At 39.4% G+C, this 21,132-nt stretch overlaps 1 protein-coding gene and 2 pseudogenes across 15 annotated transcripts in view; 2 read left to right on the top strand and 1 right to left on the bottom strand.

The window, feature by feature from the left end:
* WDR47 (WD repeat domain 47) overlaps positions 1 to 21,132 on the top strand; it is a 71,889-nt gene that overhangs the window by 42,660 nt on the left and 8,097 nt on the right. For 9 of the 15 annotated variants that reach the window (XM_011541028.4, XM_006710460.5, XM_011541027.4 and 6 more), the window contains 6 exons: positions 3,606 to 3,863; positions 8,114 to 8,189; positions 12,763 to 12,920; positions 15,992 to 16,161; positions 16,658 to 16,834; positions 17,579 to 17,710. In XM_011541028.4, coding sequence (XP_011539330.1) covers positions 3,606 to 3,863; positions 8,114 to 8,189; positions 12,763 to 12,920; positions 15,992 to 16,161; positions 16,658 to 16,834; positions 17,579 to 17,710 — 971 coding nt within the window. The remainder of the gene's footprint in view (positions 1 to 3,605; positions 3,864 to 8,113; positions 8,190 to 12,762; positions 12,921 to 15,991; positions 16,162 to 16,657; positions 16,835 to 17,578; positions 17,711 to 21,132) is intronic. The other 6 variants (NM_001142551.2, NM_014969.6, XM_017000696.3 and 3 more) reach the window with 1 other exon arrangement.
* RPL17P7 (ribosomal protein L17 pseudogene 7) lies at positions 6,569 to 7,182 on the bottom strand (annotated as a pseudogene).
* Positions 12,103 to 12,756, top strand: LOC107985160 (NADH dehydrogenase [ubiquinone] 1 beta subcomplex subunit 3-like; annotated as a pseudogene).

Genomic DNA, 21,132 nt, shown 5'->3' with positions numbered 1-21,132 from the left:
CGAGAACCACCATTCTGGGCCTAGAATTTAAATTCTGTCTTGTAATTTAGGTTTGTTTAGAGTGTATTTATTGTTTTGTTTTTTGTTTTTGACATGGAGCTTCCATGCCCGGCCCATCCTAAATTTTTATATATTAGTTTCCCATAAATTTTCTGTCATTCTCTTAATCTTATCTATTCTGTTCTAACCCTTTAATATAATTTTTTTTTTTTTTGGGGACAGAGTCTTGCTCTTGTTGCCCAGGCTGGAGTGCAGTGGCGCGATCTCAGCTCACTGAAACCTCTGCCTCCCAGGTTTAAGTGATTCTCCTGCCTCAGCCTCCCAAGTAGCTGGAATTACAGGCACTGCCACTTATGCCCAGCTAATTTTTTGTATTTTTAGTAGAGACAGGCTTTCACCATGTTGGTCAGGCTGGTCTCGAACTCCTGACCTCAGGTGATCCACCTGCCTTGGCCTCCCAAAGTGCTGGGATTACAGGCTCATGCCTGGCCCAATATTTTTGTTTAATTATTTTTTCTAGACTCTAGTTTTGTATATCTGAGCCTGTACTAGGGCTTTAAGATATGTAAAATCAAGGACAAATTGAATGGAGATAGAATCTATAAAATGTGCTTTTTCCTCTCAATGTTTTATTCTTCCAAATCACTCTTGCAGGTCATTATTTCTAGATTTAAATTTTACTTCTTCCTTCTGAGGGGCATAGACAGAAGAGAAGTAAGGTGTGTTACACAATTAGATCTTATTGAAAAAAATTATAGCATGATAGGAATTTTATTAATAGTACTGTATCATTACTTTATACCTCTTGATCTTTTGTTTTTATTAATACTAATAATTGGCACCATTGATTTGACAATTAATAGGCGTATTCAGCCTCTTCCCCATCCCAGCCCATTTTAAGAGAGTTAAAATGCTATATTAGCATTTTTTTTTTGTTTTTTGAGGCGGAGTCTTGCTCTGTTGCCTAGGCTGGAGTGCAGTGGCATGACCTTGGCTCACTGCAACGTCTTCCTCCCAGGTTCAAGCGATTCACCATCTCGGCCTCCCAGGTAGCGGGGACCACAAGTGTCCACCACCATGCCTGGCTAATTTTTGTATTTTTAGTAAAGACGAGGTTTCACCATGCTGGCCAGGCTGGTCTCAAACTCCCTACCTCAGGTGATCTGCCCGCCTTGGCCTCCCAAAGTGCTAGGATTACGGACATGAGCCACTGTGCCTGGCCTGTATTAGCATTTTAAATGCTTTTTATACTTTGCATTTTTCCCAAATTTATTTGACCTCACATCCCTTTTTATGGGGAGTATAAAAAAGATATATGTACATTTCACAAGAAATATGTTTCACAGAACACAATTTGAGAAATGCTACTTAATTATAATTTTTAACTGATAAATATTTAGTATAAGGCTAACAGTTCCTCTAATAATATTGAGCTGCTTTTTTGGAAGTATTTTTAAACCCTAAAAATATAAATAAACAATGTTTAATGTAGGAAAATTAAAAAATACCATAAGCCACAACACCTCTCAATAATTGTACTCCCTGTGTTAGTCCTTTCTTATATTGAATCTCAGCTGGAGAAACTGATGCTGGGTTAGTTTTGGGTCTAAATCTTCTTTCCTCCCTCCCTTCCTCCCCTTTCCCCTTTCCTTTCCTTCCTTCTTTCTTTTTTTTTTTTTTTTTGAGATGGAGTCTTGCTCTGTTGCCCAGGCTGGAGTGCAGTGGCACTATCTCGGCTCACTGCAAGCTCCGCCTCCCAGGTTCACGCCATTCTCCTGCCTCAGCCTCCCGAGAAGCTGGGACTACAGGCGCCCACCACCACGCCTGGCTAATTTTTTTTTTGTATTTTTAGTAGAGACGGGGTTTCACCGTGTTAGCCAGGATGGTCTCGATCTCCTGACCTCGTGATCCGCCCGCCTCGGTCTCCCAAAGTGCTGGGATTACAGGCATGAGCCACCGCGCCCAGCCCTCCTTCTTTCTTTCCTTTTTTTTCTTTTTCTTTTTTTTTTTTTCTGAGATGGGATCTCACTTTGTTGCCCAGGCAGGATCACGGCCCATTGCAGCCTTGACCTCCTGGGCCCAGGCAATCCTTCCACCTCAGCCTTCCAAGTAGCTAGGACCATAGGCCTGCACCACCATGTCTGGCTAAGTTTTTCTTTTTCTTTTCTTTTTTTTTTTTTTGGGAGAGACGGGCTCCCTCTGTTGCCCAGGCTAGTCTCAAACTCCCGAGCTCAAGCAATCCTTCTGCCTTGGCCTCCCAAAGTTCTGGGATTATAGGCGTGAGCCATCGCTCCTGGCCATGGGTCTAACTTCTTTTTTTTTTTTTGGAGATGGAGACTTGCTCTGTCGCCCAGGCTGGAGTGCAGTGGTGTGATCTTGGCTCACTGCAGCCTCCGCTTCCCAGGTTCAAGTGATTCTCCTGCTTCAGCCTCCCAAGTAGCTGGGATTACAGGCATCTGCCACCATGCTTGGCTAATTCTTGTATTTTTAGTAGAGATGGGGTTTCACCATGTTGGCCAGGCTGGTCTCGAACCTGACCTCAAGTGATCCGCCCACCTCAGCCTCCCAAAGTGCTGGGATTACAGGTATGAGTCACCGCACCTGGCCCATGAGTCTAAATCTTAAAAGAGCAATGTAGCTTCCTGTTTGTGCCCTTTGTAGCCCTGATCTCAATATGGAGTCAGGCTACAGCAATGGAGAGACTATTTGTTGAGGGCAAGGCCCTGAGGCTAACTTGTTTTGCTCCCTGTTTTATCTCCCTATTGTCTAGATCAGAGACTGGCCAATAGTATTTGTAGAATGAATTAATGAGTGAATAAGTACATGTGGAGTATTAGGGATGCCATTTGACTTTTTACTCATCATGGCTTGCTCAAGTCATCCATTTCCTACTTGATACTACTCAAGACAGATGGAATGAAAATGGCTTGTTTTGTTGATGAGCAATTTTGGTAGTGGTGATATTGTTATTGACTCTTTCTGAAAGTTAAGTTTTAAATGGAAAATTAAACCAAAGTTATATTGGGGAAGAAAAAGAATTTTTTTTCTGTTTTTATTGTAAAAGCTGCTTTTAAAAAGTCTGTGATACTGGCTGGGCACAGTGGTTCATGCCTATAATCCCAGCACTTTGGGCGGAAGGCAGGAGGATAGCTTGAACCCAGGAGTTAAGGACCAATCTAGGCCATATAGGGAGACTCTGTCTCTACAAAAAATTTAAAAAGTTAGCTGGTCATGATGGTATGCACCTGTTGTCCCAGGTATGTGTGGGAGGTGGAAGGATTGCTTGAGCCCAGGGCTGCAGTGAGCCACGATCATGCCACTGCACTTCAGCCTGGGCAACAGAGCGAGACCCTGACTCAAAAAAAGAAAAGTCTATAATGCCCATTATGCCTATCTTCTGTAGTGTTATACTATGGGAAAATGTGGATCTTCTTTCAGTATCTTGGTTATGTCTTAAGTTGATGGTGGTAATTTTTAACACTAAATTTGCCATAGATTATATATTATATGTGCATATTTTTACCTTTTCACACTTTTAACCTTGTATATATTAGGAATGCAATTAAGTTTTTATTTTAAAATGATTACATTGTTTAATTTTATAGGTCCATTCAAAAGCTTGGTGAATTAAATATTGGAATGGATGGCCTTGGTAATGAGGTATCAGCACTCAACCAGCAATGTAATGGGAGCAAAGGCAATGGATCTAATGGTTCTTCTGTGACTAGTTTTACTACACCACCCCAAGACTCTAGTCAGAGATTAACACATGATGCTTCAAATATTCATACAAGCACTCCTCGTAATCCTGGATCAACAAATCACATACCTTTTCTGGAGGAATCACCTTGTGGAAGCCAAATGTAAGTGCTTGACTTTGTAAAACTTGGAAATATTAACTTACTACTAATGGTTAGAAGGTTGAACTTGTCTTTGGAGCCTTATAAATAAAAGTTTTTAGAGCTTACTGCCTACCAATTTTTTTTCCTAATCTGCCTTCATTTGTCTATATTCTCTTCTACCAACTTCTAAGTCTCTTTATAGTTTCCATTTTCCTTCTATTTTTCTTTTTGCTTCCTGACTACCACCAAGGCAATTATATTTTTTATAAGCCATCCTACTCAAAGAACCTACAGTTTTAGGATCTCTAAATCTTGATTTTCTTTTTTCTTCAGTTGGCATCTTTGAACAAATAATCTTAAAATTCAGACTTTCAGGGCATAGAAAGATGTTTTACAATCTGGTGGAATGATTACAGCTGCAGTGTTGGCTGCTTTGGCAATTACAGCAGTGGAAGACTGCATATTTACATTTTCACTATTCAGGGAAAATTTTTATCTTGCTATCATTAGTATACAAGTGTTAATTTATGCAATGGGAATAGTTAAGGAGCATTTTCTATATTCTTAGCATAAAACACTTTTCAGGGTGGTTCATTAAAAAATGTATAAGATGAGATTCCCAGCTTTTTGGCTGAGATTAAGTACAAAAATGTATAACTTGCTTTTGGCACTTGGATGCTTATAGGAATTCACTTTATAAATAATTAGTGTCAAAAACCTAGTTTTATTTCAGAGCATAAATTCAATTTTTGATTCTTTTCTGAATTTTTATTTTTTTACTATTTGCTTTTTTATTACAGCTTTCATAATAGTTGTTTTGAGTACTTTCAAAACAAGAATTCAGATTTTAAAATTTAATTTTTGTTTTTGTCCATGTAATATACATACATGGTTTCAAAAGACAAATAGTACTTCAAGGCTTAAAATAAAACCCATCTTTGTCCATGGTTTTATTTCTTATTGGCTGCCATTTTCAACCCATTTGGCTGTTTCTCTTGATATATATACATACAATTTTTTTTTAAGATGGGATCTCACTATGTTGCCTAGGCTGGTCTCAAATTCCTGGGCTTAAGTGATCCTCCTACCTCAGCCTCCCAAAGTCCTGGGATTACAGGAGTGAACCACCACACCCAGCCTTTTGCTATATATTTCCACATTTCTGAAAAACATACTTCTATTACTGTTTTGTTTTGTTTTTTTGAGATGGAGTTTTGCTCTTGTTGCCCGGGCTGGAATGCAGTGGTGTAATCTCAGCTCACTGCAACCTCTGCCTCCCAGGTTCAAACAATTCTCCTGCCTCAGCCTCCTGAGTAGCTGGGATTACTGGCATGTGCCACCATGTCCAGCTAATGTTTTGTATTTTTGGTAGAGACAGGGTTTCACCATGTTGGCCAGGCTGGTCTCGAACTCCTGACCTCATGATTCGCTCACCTCGGCCTCCCAAAGTGCTGGAGTTACAGGCATGAGCCACCGCACCCGGCCTCTATTACTGTTTTTGCTATCTGTTGATTCTCTACCATACTCCTCATACATAGCACCCTCACTTTGTCTATCCCTTATTTTCAGTATATATCAATTTTTGTTTAAATCAGTATCAGTGTGATTTTGTTTAAATCAGTATCACATTACTATGACCTTGTAAATGTTATTTACAACTGGGTCATGTAGTGCCATATGATTATATTTCTTTTTCATATAGCTTCTTGTTTTTCCTGGAGACAGTAATTGCCTCAAGTTGGTGTTCATGTGTCTGTACATGATGAGTTTTCTTAATATTTATCACTAAACTATCTGTAAGTGCTTTGACAGAATTATAAAATCATAAAACTTCTCTCATTATTGTAAAAAGTGTCAGAAATTTCTCTATTCCATTTTTTCCCCTTGGGAGATGTCCCTCCAGGATCACTCCTGCTTCACTTTATATTTACTGCTTTTTGATCACTTTATGTAGGTCTAGATAGAATCCTGGGACTTTCCTCACTGTTCTGCTGGGATTTCCTTTGCCTCATCTCTTTATTAGATTCCCTGTTTTTAGCATCTCACAGTTTCCTGAAAAGGGGTGCCTTAGAGGTGAAGTTTCTGAGACCTTGCATGTCTAAAAATGTGTTTGCTTTATTTTTCACCTTTTTTGTTAGTATAGCTGGGTATAGAATTCTAGGATGAAAATCATTCCTCAGTATTTCAAAAGCATTGCTACATGATCTTCCAGTTTTAGTGTTCTGATTAAAAAGTCTGATGCCATCTTGATTCCTCATTGTCTTTTTTTTTTTTTGAGACAGTGTCTCACTTTGGCTCCCAGGCTGGAGTGCAGTGGCGCAATCTTGGCTCACTGCAACCCCCGGCCTCCTGGGTTCAAGTGATTCTTGTGCCTAAGCTACCCTACTAGCTGGGACTACAGGTACATACCACCACACCCAACTAATTTTTGTATTTTTAGTAGAGATGGAGTTTCACCATGTTTACCATGTTGGCGAGGCTGGTTGATTCCTCATTCTTTGGGTGAGGCCTATTGCTCCTTCTACTCTGGAATTTTTCAGGTTCTTCTCTTCCCTGATAGTCTGAAACTTCATGATGATATAGAAGATAGACCTTAGAGTGATTCTATTTTTCCTTATTCTTCTGGGTATTTCATGGGCCCTTTTAAGTTGGAAACTTAAGTTCTAGGAAATTAAAAAAATATTATTTAGCAATTTCCTCACCTCTATTTTCTATGGATTTACTTTTTTTTTTCCTTTTAATTACATTTATTTTAATGCTGAATTTACTCCCGTGCCATAAGTTTTTGTTTCTTCAGTTTCTTCTGGGATATCCTTTTCTTCTGGGCAACCTCCTCTTCTGGTTTAGGAACAATCTGTTCCTTTTCCGTAAGGATCATCTCAATGTGGCAGGGAGAGCTCATGTATGGGTTAATCCGACCATGAGCTCTGTAGGTCCGGCGGCGCATCTTAGGTGCTTTGTTCACTTGGATATGCTCAATGACCAGAGAATCTACATCTAAACCCTTAAGTTCAGCATTACTCTCTGTGTTTTTAAGCATGTGCAGCAAAAATTCAGCACTCTTTTTGGGCCACCGACCTTGTGTCCAGCCCCACTGCTTGGCCTGCGCACACCTGCCAACTCCACCATTGTAACGTCGGAATGGTACACACTGTTTCTGTAAAGTGACATCTTTCAGATACTTCGTGGCTTTTCGTATATGCATACCCTTGATGGCCTGAGCAGTTTCACGAGTGTTCTTAAAGTGAACACGAAGATTGGAACCTCTTGATTTGCATGATTCCGTGGGGTTCTCCGGGTCAAGTGAATAGCGAACCATTTTCACAGATTACCTCAGGCTGCTTCGGATTTACTTTTTTCTACCATCATATTTTAATTTTCTAAGAGGTCTTTCTTATTATCTAATTTCTTTTCCTTTTTAAAAAATAGATCTTGCTCTTGTTTCCTTATTAATCTGTTATTTCCTCTTATATCTAAGGATTTAAATTACATTTTTGTAGCTTTTGTTCCCTAAATTGCCTCTCTTCTCCCAAGTTCATTTTTCTGTTGATTTTAGTCTCTACCTTTTATCTCGGCTTTTTTCAGGTATCTAGAAAGCTTTGGCTGGCCGTAAACAGTGAGACATTAAAACAAAAGCTGGCTGGGTGTGGTGACTCACACCTGTAATCCCAGCAATCTGGGAGGTTGAGGTGGGAGGATTGCTTGAGCCCAGGAGTTCGAGAGCAGCCTGGGCAACATAGGGAGACCCCGTCTCTATTATATTTTATAATATTAAATAAAAATTTTAAAAGCTGATTGGAAGGAAGGGCTACATATGTGGGTGGATCTGTCTGCTTGTTGGCCTCACAAAAATTGATTAAGAGGAAACATAGTTTTACTAAGGTACCCTAAACTGTAAGTTTCTGATATTTTTTTCTCTTGGGCCAGATAATTTTCCTGAAGAGCATTCTCCAGTGTCCTGTCTGGGGTTGGATTTAAGCATAGCAAACAGGATTCTGGAACTAAGCAAGGGAAGGGTACTTGACATCTCACTATAAAATATGTGGACTTTGACTTAATTTTCTTTCCAGAATGGCTTTTCATCTCCTCCTTACAACTGTCATTGGTGCCACTGAATCCAGAGCTTATTTTAATAAATGTCTCCAGAGAGTAACTTTGGAGTCAGCTAGGATTGTTTGCTAAAAAGAAAAATTAGTGTTTGAAAGGGTAAATTAATTTAGTTTCTATTTTGATACATGGAGTAAACTTTACTTGAATTTCTACTCCCACAGCTCTTCAGAACATTCGGTCATTAAGCCACCTCTTGGAGATTCTCCAGGGAGTCTTTCAAGGTCGAAAGGGGAAGAGGTAATACTTTGGGGAAGGAAGTTTTATTGTTTTCATATGCACCTGTAAATTTTGCTAAGAAATTTTCAATTCAAAGAAAGAACCATTTTAGTCAGACGTGGTGGTGTACAGTACCCAGGAGGCCGAGGCAGAAGAATGTCTTGAGCCCAGAAGTTTGAGATTGTAGAGTACTAGAATCGCACCTGTGGATAGCCGTTGCACCACTCCAACCTGGGCAACAGAGTGAGACCTCGTGTCTTAAAAAAAAAAAAACAAAAAAAAACCCCACAAACTTTTACTGCTAATGTTGGTATTTATCTCGAGGCTCAAGGCAGTTGAGCTCTCAGTGGTGTAACTGAAGAGGGAGCCTTAGAAAGCACAGTTGGACACGTGGGAGTGTTCATATTAATGGCCTAGTAGTGGCCTTGGGACATGAATTGAGGCTCTGTGTTATTCTCTGAACCCTATGGTTAATTTCATTATTGGTATCTCTTTGGGCTTCTCATCGGTACACCTTTTTTTTTGCTTTGGAAGCAAACATCCTTTCCTAGCTAGTATACAGCTTCACTCTATCTTACTTTTCCTAGTTCAGATTTTAACCCCATAAACAAAGGTGTTAATTTGAGATGCTTTTAGGGATGAAATAGATAACATAAATTAATAAAATTGACCATTTTTATGATAAGCACAAAGGAATATTTGTCCCTTGCAAAAGAAATATGCAAGTCCAGTGTTTCCAATTCCTTTGATTTAAAAAAAAATATTAGGCCAGGCATGGTGGCTCACACCTGTAATCCCAGCACTTTGGGAGGCTGAGGCAGTTGGATCATCTGAGGTCGGGAGCTCAAGACCAACCTGGCCAACATGGCAAAACCCCGTCTCTACTAAAAATACAAAAATTAGCCAGGCATAGTGGTTCACGCCTGTAATGCTAGCCACTTGGGAGGCTGAGGCACGAGAATTGCTTTAACCCAGGAGGCAGAGGTTGCAGTGAGCCAAGATCGCGCCATTGTACTCCAGCCTGGGGGACAGAGCAAGACTCTGTCTCCAAAAAATATATGTATGTATATATATTAATAGAGACATGGTGTGACTACGTCACCCAGGCTGGTCTCAAATTCCTGGGCTCAAGCAATCCTCCCACCTCGACCTCCCAAAATGCCAGGATTACAGGTGGGAGGCACTGCACCTGACCTGATTTTCAAGAAAAGCTAGAAATCTAGATTTTTATGTGAAATCACCTAGTTTTTTAAATGACAACAAATTTAAAAAAATTTTAAGGCTGGATGCAGTGGCTCACTCCTGTAATCCCAACACTTGGGAGGTCAAGGCAGGTGGATCACCTGAGGTCAGGAGTTTGAGACCAGCCTGGCCAACATGGCGAAACCCAATCTCTTCTAAAAATACAAAAAATTAGCTGAGTGTGATGGCGGGTGCCTGTAATCCCAGCTACTTGGGAGGCTGAGGCAGGAGAATCGCTTGAACCTGGGAGGCAGAGGTTGCAATGAGCCAAGATTATGCCATTTCACTCCAGCCTAGGCAACAAGAGCAAAACTCTGTCTCAAAAAAAATTTAAAACACTCTGGAGGACAGCAAATAAAATCAGTTTGTGTGGCTTCTGCTATAAAGCAATCTTTAGTAATTTTTGATGTGCTATAGGCCATTTAGTTAATTAGTCGTTTTTCCTCCCTTTTTCTCTTATCTACCCCATGCTATTATATAATTTTGCAAACAGTCACATTCCCTGTGTATGGATTATTGGAAAATGCAACATTTCTAGTCAAATTCATACAAATAATATCAGAATTCAATTCACTTACATAGGACATACATAGCGTAACACATCAGGTTTGCCCCCCTACTCCTGCAAGGAGGATGTATTGCATGAATAAAGGCTTAGGTAGAGAGAGGCATAGTCTTTTCATTGCTGTAGTCATTATGGGTCCTAGACCTCTCAGAATACATCCAGAGCTGAAGTGATTTTCCTTTGTGTGTGTACTTGACATTCATACTTCTCAAAGCCGGGGTTTGGTTGAGTCTGACCATACCTAGTGTAGAGGTTCCTGCACCATGTCCAGTCAGTCCTGGTCAGGGTAACACGGTGGTTTCAAATGACATCAGTAGTAGGTTCACCAAAGCTTTTATACAGAACTGCTTCAGCATCTCTCTTCAGAAGAGAGATCTGGATGGACAGGTTGACAGTTTAAAGTAAAAATGAGGCTAGGCGTGGTGGCTCACACCTGTAATCCCAGCACTTTGGGTGGCTGAGGTGGCAGATCACTTGAGCTCAGGGGTTCGAGACCAGTCTGGCCAACATGGTGAAACCCCATCTCTACTAAAAATACAAAAATTAGCCGGGTGTGGTGGTGCATGCCTATAATCCCAGCTACTTGGGAGGCTGAGGCAGGAGAATCGCTTGAACTTGGGAGGCAGAGGTTGCGGTGAATCAAGATTGCGCCACCGCACTCCAGCCTGAGCAGTAGAGCGATACTCCATCTCAAAAAAAAAAAGTAGAAATGAAACATTCAAATGTTTCCATTAAAATTATTTTTACAGTTTTAAAGGGATGTTTGTTTATTTATTTATTTAATTTGAGACAGAATCTTGCTCTGTTGCCCAGGCTGGAGTGCAGTGGTGCGATCTCAGCTCACTGCAGCTTTGACCTCCCAGGCTCAAGTGATCCCCCCACCCCAGCGCCCTGAGTAGCTGTGACTACGGGCATGCGCCACCACACCCGGCTAATTTTTGTATTATTTTTCTTTTTTTTGGTAGAGATGGGTTTTCATCATGTTGCCCAGGCTGTTAAAGGGATATTTTATAACTTCAGCTTGAAATACTGAAATATTCATTGATAGAGATAATGGTAAACATTTTTTCTTAAGCAGATTAATAATCCTTTATACTTCCTTCATTTAGAAACACAAATGAAACTCTATTTGTTAGAACTTCTAGTGGGCTTTTTTTTTTTTCTTAATAGTTAAAGAGAACTTAATATAGGAATGCATACTTATTCTTTCCTTCCTTCTTGGTGCCCCGCCCCTCCCCCCTTCCTATCTCCCCCTCCCTGACAGGTGTTGCCCAGGCTCACTATAGCCTCAACCTCCCAGACTCAATCGATCCTCCCACCTCAGCCTCCCAAGTAGCTGAGACTACAGGTGCATACCACCACAGCCGTCTAAAATTTTTTTTTTTTTTCATTTTTATAGAGATGGGGTTTAGCCATGTTGCACAGCCTGGTTTCAAACTCCTGGGCTCAAGCAATATGCCCAACTCGGACTCACAAAGTGCTGGGATTATAGGCATGAGCCACCGTGCCTGGCCCGTATTTATTCTTACATTTTGTCTTAATAATTGAAGAAAAACTTGAGTGTTTATGAACTGAGCTTAGTTTAGCAATGAGTAATGAAAAATAGAAAAATTAGGGAATTTGAATATGCTACTTAATATATGGAGACTGCTGTCAGAAAAACTTCATGTAATCATATGTATTTAAAAACAATTGGCTGGAACCAGGTGCGGTGGCTCATGCCTGTAATCCCAGCACTTTGGGAGACTGAGGCAAGCAGATCACTTCAGGTCAGGAGTTTGAGACCAGCCTGGCCAACACAGTGAAACCCTGTCTCTACTAAAAATTCAAAAATTAGTCAAGCATGGTGGTGGGTACCTGTAATCACAGTTGCTCAGGAGGCTGAGGCAGGAGAATCACTTGAACCTGGGAGGCAGAGGTTGCAGTGAGCCAAGATCACGCCACTGCACTCCAGCCTGGGCAACAGAGCAAGACTCCATCTCAAAAACAAACAAAACAAAACAAAACAAACAATTGGCTGGTGCGGTGGCTCACACCTGTAATCCCAGCACTTTGAGAGGCCGTGGTGGGCAGATTGCTTGAGCCCAGAAGTTCAAGACCAGCCTGGGCAACATGGCGAAACTCCATCTCTATTTTTTTTTAATTAAAAAAATTAAAACTTTTTAAAAAAGGAAAGCAATAATGCTGCACTTTAAAAGAATCATCTAAAGAATACAGAAATGGCCCATGGACATGGACGTTAACATGAACATAGTAAAATGGAATTTCCAGATTATAAACAATGGAAGATAGAAGAAACACCATTAGAAACTATCCAGGAGAAGCTGGCTGCAGGAGGGCTAAGGGATCTATGGGGCTGTAATGAAGCTTAGAGAAACATGGGTGACTTTGCAAACAATGTTTCCTCTGATGGTGCATTATTAAAAGGATTCAAAGATTTGCTGCATTTGTGGTAGCTGTAGGGGTTTAATATTACCTGGTGTCCCAGAGTAAAGATAAGAAGCATCACTGATGATAATACCTGGAAGTATCTTAGTGGTTTCTTAACTCTCCAAAATAAGATTTCTTCACTGTAGCCTACTTGTCTGTGTGTTTGCCTCTTAAAGGATATTAGTAAGATTTAATAAAGTAAGAAAAACATAGAGAAAAGAATATATGGTTATTGGCAGTAAACCTAACATGATCCAACAAGAATAATAAAGTTCAAATGAATTTAAAATGGGAGAAAGATGAATTCTTTCAAATTCATTTTTTTAATAGGATAACTAATATTCATTCTTTCCATAGGATGACAAATCAAAAAAGCAGTTTGTTTGTATTAATATCCTAGAAGACACACAAGCTGTTAGAGCAGTGGCTTTTCATCCAGCTGGAGGTTTATATGCTGTTGGTTCAAATTCAAAAACTCTGAGAGTATGTGCCTATCCAGATGTAATTGATCCAAGGTAAGGATCAATGATTTGTGCTGCCATTCTTACCTTAGTTTTTAATTTAGCCGTATAGGTTCCTTTTTCAGAATTGCCATTCAGTAGTGTTTCAAATCTTACTTTCTTTCCTTCGATTAAACTTTATTTTCTGTTATAAAATAACTGTTTTTACTTTCAGTGCTTAGGAAATATACTTAAGTCATTAACTTCATAATTTTTTCATAAAATGTTTTTGATTACAACATTGCTCATTTATGGCTTTAGACTTCTTTATTTCCATGGCTTTTGTATTTTGTTTTTTATCTGAAAAGTCTTTATATAGTAGACCCCCCTTATTTGCAAGGGATACATTTAAGAACCCCAGTGGATTCCTGAAACCTTGGCTGGTACTGAACCCTACGTATACTGTGTTTTTTCCTATTCATACACACCTATTTATAAATTATGTATGTAATTTACATATAACTCTTACTCTTTTACACCTCTTAAGACTTTTTAATTATAACCCTAGTTTGAGAAACAGGGGTGGGATTTTTCATTTATTTGCATTTTTTTTTTTTTTTTGCTATCTCTATGTCTGAAACCAATAATTTAGGCTTTTGGACTGTGGTAGCATTTAATGATTGGGAAAGGGAATATAATAAGGTCCATGTTAATTGATAGTATTATAATTTACTGGTGCTCACTGCATTATTTAAGTCGAAATACTTAAGAAAGAATGGCAAAATTCTCTATAAGGGAGTGAGAAATAGCAATAATTATGGAGGTAGAACCAAAGACTTATATGTTTAGGGTTAACTTGAACTTAAGGTAACTGTTTCTCATCTTTTGTATTTCTTATACAGACACAGATGTTTCATAGGCTGTGAAGAAACTGATTTGAAAATAAATACATTTATTTAGCAAATATATATTTTGGGCTCCTATGTGCTAGGTACTATAGTTGTGTGTAAAACAAACATGTTTATTGGCTTCATGGAACTTCTTGTTTAGTGGGGAAGATGGATATAATGCAAATGAACACAAATATACATTTTGGTAAATGTTATGAAGAAAGATTACAACGTGCTGTGAGAATAAAATGGGGATGGAGTAGGGTGCAAACTGGCGAGTCAGAGAAAGACTTCTTTGAGGAAGAGGCACTAAAGTTGAGATCTAAGGAGGAGTAACCTAGCTATGTAAAGAGAAGGGAGAAGAGAATAATATAGAGGGAACGTGAGGTGAGAAAGAGCTTGGCTTTTTTTAGGAACTGAAATAAATTCAGATTGGTTGGAAAATTATGAGCTTGAGTTTGATAAGGCCGCAGAGATAGACATGAACTAAATTAGGCAGAGCTTTCTAGCCATTTTATATTTCATGCTGAGTGCAGTGGGACACCACTGAAAGTAGCAGATCAAGTGTAAATGTATTTTGAGATGATGACTCTGCCTGTGATTGGATGGCAATAAGAGGAGACACTGGGAGAGAGGGAGGAAGCTGTTTGTATTTGATGGTAATGTGATGGCAGTGGAGGTGGAGCAAAGTGGGTGGATTTGAGAGGTATAATCCATTTAAGGAAGGAATCGGTGGGACTTGGTGATAATTGGTTGTGCAGCTGAAAAGAAAATCTTTTTATCTGGTCTGTTCTCTAGATCAGTTTTTTGGGTTTTTTTTGTTTTTGTTTTGAGACAGAGTCTCACTCTGTCGCCAGGCTGGAGTGCACTGGCACGACCTCAGCTCACTGTAACCTCCACCTCCTGGGTTCAAGTGATTCTCCTGCTTCAGCCTCCTGAGTAGCTGGGACTACAGGCATGCACCACGATGCCTAGCTGATTTTTGTATTTTTAGTAGCGACGGGGTTTCACCATGTTGGCCAGGATGGTCTTGATTTCCTGACCTCTTGATCCGCCCTCCTCGGCCTCCCAAAGTGCTGGGATTACAGGCCTGAGCCATCACACCCTGCCTAGATCAATATTAAACACTTTTTAGGTATTAGAGATTTGTCAGTCTTCTTGTTTGTTTTTTAAACATTTCTTAATTATGAACATTTTCAAAGACTCAAAAGTAGACTAGTATGCTGAAATGCAATAGTTGTCAAGATTTTTGTCACATTTGCTTCATTCATCTTTTTTTGTTCATTTGCTAAAGTATTTAAATCTTAGATATGTCATTTAACCCTTTCATCCTTCAGGATGAATCTCCAGAAACATGTACATTTTCTTACATAGACTTGATTTTATCATTATACCTGATTTAGAAATCTTTAGTGTCATATTAGTTCGTGTTTCAAAGTGTAGATAAAATGCTGTTACCCCACTAAGCCAATGTTTGACTGTCATTAAAGGACAAACTCTTGAGGAGCATGGCATTTAGAACCCTCCACAGCTGAGCCTGCAGTGCCTCACCCACCACATCACTCCTGCTCACTCTACTAAATACCTCATGCTTTTCACTGCTAGCCCCACAGACTCTTTCCATTGCTGCATGCTCAGCCAGTACTTTCCCTACTATATTTTATTGTCACTAAAGTGGTTCTCCTGCCTTCTTATTTTTCTGTAAAAATTTGCCTTATCCTTTAAGGCCCAGTGCTTTATACTGGACTATGTAACAACTTATACTTGCCTTACTGTATATGGGTAGTCTCATGACAATATCTACCTGTACCAGATTTTAAACTCTGGACAGAACTCTTGCACATTGCTCACATTATATGTTTATTACATGTTTATTATGTGTTTATTATATGTTTATTACATGCTTATTGCATTTTTTTTTTAAATTTGGAAGCATTGTTAGCTTTTTTAATTTTTTTTGTTTCTGAGTTTAAAATCCATGAAAAATATGAGAAACGGAGATTTTTTTTTTAAGTCGTATATCCTGTTTCCTTTGTCATCTGAAATGAGAGTTTAGTATGATTTGGTTTATAATTTTACTTTTTGGGTTTTAAGTATGCTGCTAATTTTATTTCTTCTATGATTTTGAAAACTATTAATAAGCTGTTGTCTGACACGCTTTTTCTCCTTCCTTCAAGAACAAGTATAATATGGAACCTCATAACTGATTGTAGCAAGCAAGAAATTGAAATATATTTCTGTAATTTTTCTTTTCAGTGCACATGAGACTCCTAAGCAGCCGGTGGTACGTTTTAAAAGGAATAAACATCATAAAGGATCCATTTACTGTGTGGCCTGGAGTCCTTGTGGGCAGTTATTAGCAACAGGATCAAATGACAAATACGTCAAAGTGCTGCCCTTCAATGCAGAGACTTGTAACGCAACAGGTAGGGCCCAAGTATGTAAGCAGTAGCTAGCTTACCAGTGTATATGTTATGTTTTCTCCATGTTGTATTTCTGTATTGTCTTTAATGAAATCCAAGAATATAATCTTAAAGAATAATTTTTTCAATAATTCTAATTGTTTAGTTACATTCATGAGGTATTACTCTTTCTTAGTAAATTCTTACAGGTGTCTAGGTGGTGTTTGAGTTTTATAAAATTATTATTAGAAAAATAGCCTTTAAATAGCTACCAGATGTTTTCTAGAGATCACTTGTCTTCTTTTTCTTTGGGATAAGAGACAAGATAACCCTGTGGTAACAGCTATTTTGATAAAATTCTTTGCTCAGTAAAGTGAAACTGCTTATAATACCAATCCCTAAATGAAAATACAAACCATATTTCTAAACCATTATTCTTGACCAGTTTTGAGGTAGTTTAGCAATCTCAAGTTATCACAGTAAGTTGAGCAGCATTTTTTTTTTTTAATTCTTACTACTGTTTCAGGACCAGATCTGGAATTTAGTATGCATGATGGAACAATTAGAGACTTGGCATTTATGGAAGGCCCAGAAAGCGGAGGAGCTATTTTAATAAGTGCTGGAGCAGGGGATTGTAACATTTATACAACCGATTGTCAAAGAGGACAGGGCCTCCATGCTTTGAGTGGACATACTGGTATGTAATATCAGTTTCAAGTGCTGTTTTTCTTTTTGTTCAATCTGTGCTTTTTTTTCCTCTCTGCATTTTCTTTTCTAAGAGACAGGGTCTTGCTCTTACTGTCCAGAGTGCAGTGGCACAATCACAGCTCACTGCGGCCTCAACCTCCTGAGGTCAAGTGATCCTCCCACCCAGCCTCCTGAGTAGCTGGGACTATAGGCACGTGCTACCATGCTTGGATAGTTTAAAATTTTTTTGTAGATATGGTGTCTCACTATGTTGCCCAGACTGGTCTTGAACTCCTGGGCTCAAGCAATCATCCTGTCTCAGCCTCCCAAAGTGTTGGGATTACAGGCATGAGCCACCATGCCTGGCCTAGTATGGTTTTGATGTTGTGCATTTTACTGAGTTTTATTTTATTTTTAAAATTGTCAATCTATTTGATAAATGTGAAAAATCTCTATCACATAGTATATTTGACTAACCAGACCACCACTTGCCCTGTAAATAAGGAGTACTTAGCTTTTTCTTTTTTTTCAGATACAGGGTCTTGCACTGTTGCCCAGGCTGGAATGCAGTGGCTTGATCATAGCTCACTGCAGCCTCGAACTCCTGGGCTCCAGCAGTCCTCCTGCCTCAGCCTCCTGAGTAGCTGGGATTATAGGCATGAGCCACCTTGCCCAACTCTAGAGTGCTTAGCTTTGAATATGTTATGGAAAGATACTCTCCCACCTTAATAATTGAGTATATGATCTTTTATAGGGCATATTTTAGCACTTTATACCTGGAGTGGCTGGATGATTGCATCTGGTTCCCAAGATAAGACTGTTAGATTTTGGGATCTTCGAGTACCAAGTTGTGTTCGTGTTGTTGGCACAACATTTCATGGAACTGGTAGGTTTTTCTTTAAATGATATATATGGGAAAAAAACTTTGTAAATTAGACTAGTCTACTTCTTCTCCCCTGCAATATAAAAAATAGAAAAAATTGTGAAATAAATACTTGATATTTTATTAGTTACTTTCAGTTCTTTCACAATACTTGCATTTGTTACCTTATTTGTAAAAATAATATTCAGCTTAGGGAACCAAGGCCCAGGGAGATTAAATATAATGTCCCAGATTGTCTGTTAGCAGGGCCATTTTAGAACTCAGACCTTTAGAAACATTTTTTAAAATGCATGCACATGGCAAAAAGTGAAATTGAACAAAAGAGTGTACTATTTTCTTTCCATTCCTATTTCTTGGTCTCTCTTTCACTAAAGGACCAATTTCTTATTTATTCTTCCAGAAATATTCTATAAATATGTAACCAGAAAGTTTGTATGTACCCTAATCTCCCTTCTCCTGTAAACACAAATACACACACACGCACACACACACACACACAAATGGTAGCATGCATTACAAATTTCTCTTTCTAAACTTAACAGGATGTCTTGGATTGTTCCATGTACTGTTCTTTGCATTGTACCACCTCTTTGGTTTTTTTTTTTTTTGAGATGGAATCTCACACTGTCGCCCAGGCTGGAGTGCAGTGGCGTGATCTTGGCTCACTGCAAGCTCTGCCTCCTGGGTTCACACCATTCTCCTGCCTCAGCCTCCCAAGTAGCTGGGACTACAGGAGCCCGCCACCATGCCCAGCTAATTTTTTGCATTTTTTAGTAGAGACGGGGTTTCACCATGTTGGCCAGGATGGTCTTGATCTCCTATCCTCATGATCTGCTTGCCTCAGCCTCCCACAGTGCTGGGATTACAGGCATGAGCCACCACTCCTGGCTGCATTGTACCACCTTTTAAGCATGGTATCTAAGAGTGACACAGTATTCTGCCTTTATCCTTATTTTATTCTGAAGTACCTTTTCTGCCTTTGTAGTTTTTTTGTTGTTGTTGTTGTTGAGACAGAATCTCCCTCTGTCACCCAGGCTGGAGTGCAGTGGCACAATCTTGGCTCACTGCAACCTTTGCCTCCCAGGTTCAGGTGATTGTCCTGTCTCAGCCTCCTGAGTAGCTGGAACTACAGGCGCCCACCACCATACCCGGCTAATTTTGGTATTTTTAGTAGAGATTGGGTTTCACCATATTGGCCAGGCTGGTCTCAAACTCCTGACCTCAGGTGATCTACCTGCCTCCACCTCCCAAAGTGCTGGGATTACAGGTGTGAGCTACCACGCCTGGTCCTTTGTAGTTTTTAATAGCAGAATTAGAAGAGAATTCTATGGTACTATTCCAAGTGAAAAGATCTGCCTTGTATTCTAAATTTTTAGTGTTTTTTTTAATGCCTTGTTTATTCTTTTGAGTTTCATGGACTTTTTTCTGCACTTTGATTCAAACCAGATATGATGTTTTACAGCACATTTGAGTCCATGATCATTGATTTGTTAAAATTTAGTTTGTATCATTTTCAAAATTAATATATGACAGTTTAAGGCAGCAGTCCGCAACCTTTTTGGCACCCACCAGGAATCAGTTTCGTGGAAGACAGTTTTTCCATGGGTGGGGTGGGAAGGGGTAGGGATGGTTTAGGGATGAAACCACTGCAGATCATCAGGCATTAGATTCTCATAAGGAGCACGCAACCTAGATACCTTACATGTGCAGTTCACAGTAGGGTTCCCGCTCCTGTGAGCATCTAATGCCACCACTGATCTGACAGGAGGCGGAGCTCAGGTGGTAATGCTCACTCATTTGTCACTCACCTCGTGCTGTGTGGCCCGGTGCCTAACAGGCCATAGACTGCTGTCAGTCAGTGGCCTGGGGCTTGGGGACCCCTGGTTTAAGAAATCAAGCAATTCAATAAGGCTTATTAAGAAAAACAGCATTGCCCTGGTTAAAATAATGTAAACAATGACTACTGATCTAACCAAAACTGATATAACTCTATTGAAAAGATGTGGAGAGAGGAAGAATTTGTATGTGAATAAGGGAAATATTCGTATTTATTTATTTTCTTATCTTTAGGATTATTTATTGACTTCCTACCATAGATTAAGATTTAACTTTTTCATGTGCCTTTCCAACTCCCATCATCCCACATTCACATATATTTTTCCTCTCTCTGCATCTTTTCTTTTGTTTTGTTTTTTTGTTTTGTTTTGTTCTGAGACAGGGTCTTGTTCTGTCACCTAGTCTGGAATGCAGTGTCGCAGTCATGGCTCACTGCAGTTTTGACTTCCAGGTTCAAGCCATCCTCCCGCCTTAGCTTCCCGAGTGGCTGGGACCATAGGCACACACCACCCTGCCCAGCCCCTCTGCATCTTTTTGATATATCAATTTTGGTTAGCTCAGTTAGTCATTGTTTACATTATTTTAACCAGGACGATGCCATTCATGGCTTATTTTTTTTCCTGTGTATATTTTCCTTGGGGTTAATAATTGTGTTTGTTTGTTTGTTTATTTGTGTAGTTTCTATACACTTACCACTAATTTATTTTTAAACTCTAGCTTTCTACATTATTTTCAGGCCACTTTTCTCCATTTCAGAGACTTCTAGTTTTTGGTCGTCTCCTCTCTCTGATAACATTAATGTCTTCCTCTTACTGTATCTCTCCTCCTCTGCTTCTCTATCATGCACATACAAACATTTTATGGAATTGGCAATGCCAAAAATTCATCTCTTGATCTCCTTATCCCCCTTCCAGTTCTTACCCTCAATTTTTGCTTCCTTTTTTACTCAGATATCTCAAAAGTCTTGCCTATATATATCGTTAGCCATTTCCTTACCCTCAGTCTTTAACTTATTCTAATGTGGTTCCTGCTGCAACCATTATAACAAATGCTGTCTTTTTCAAGATCACCAACAAACTTCTGGTTGTCAAATCACTTTTATATCCTAATTTTGCTTCAGCTCTCAGTGTCATGCAACACAGTTGACTTCTTCCACTTTTCTTTTGGGCTTTCTGCTATTCTCTTACCTTTCTGGGTATTATTCTTTTGCTGGCTCTTTCTCTTTGCTCAAATTCTAAATTCTGGCATTCCCTAGGACTCAGGACTTTAGTCTCTTCTTTCTTTAGATGATTACATCCATTTCCCCGGCTTTAAGTGTAACTCATATACTGAAAGACTTATATTTTTATCTCTAGCTGAAACCTATTCTGTGTGCTAGGCTCATAAAATTCTTTTTTTTTTTTTTTGCTTTTGAGACGGAGTCTCGCTCTGTCACCCAGGTTGCCCAGGCTGGAGTGCAGTGGCGCAATCTCGGCTCACTGCAAGCTCCGCCTCCCGGGTTCACGCCATTCTCCTGCCTCAGCCTCCTGAGTAGCTGGGACTACAGGCGCCTGCTACCATGCCCAGCTAATTTTTTTGTATATTTTTTA

This window comes from Homo sapiens, chromosome 1, assembly GCF_000001405.40.
Source record: "Homo sapiens chromosome 1, GRCh38.p14 Primary Assembly".
Lineage (NCBI taxonomy): Eukaryota > Metazoa > Chordata > Mammalia > Primates > Hominidae > Homo > Homo sapiens.
This window is presented reverse-complemented; position numbering and strand designations above follow the sequence as displayed.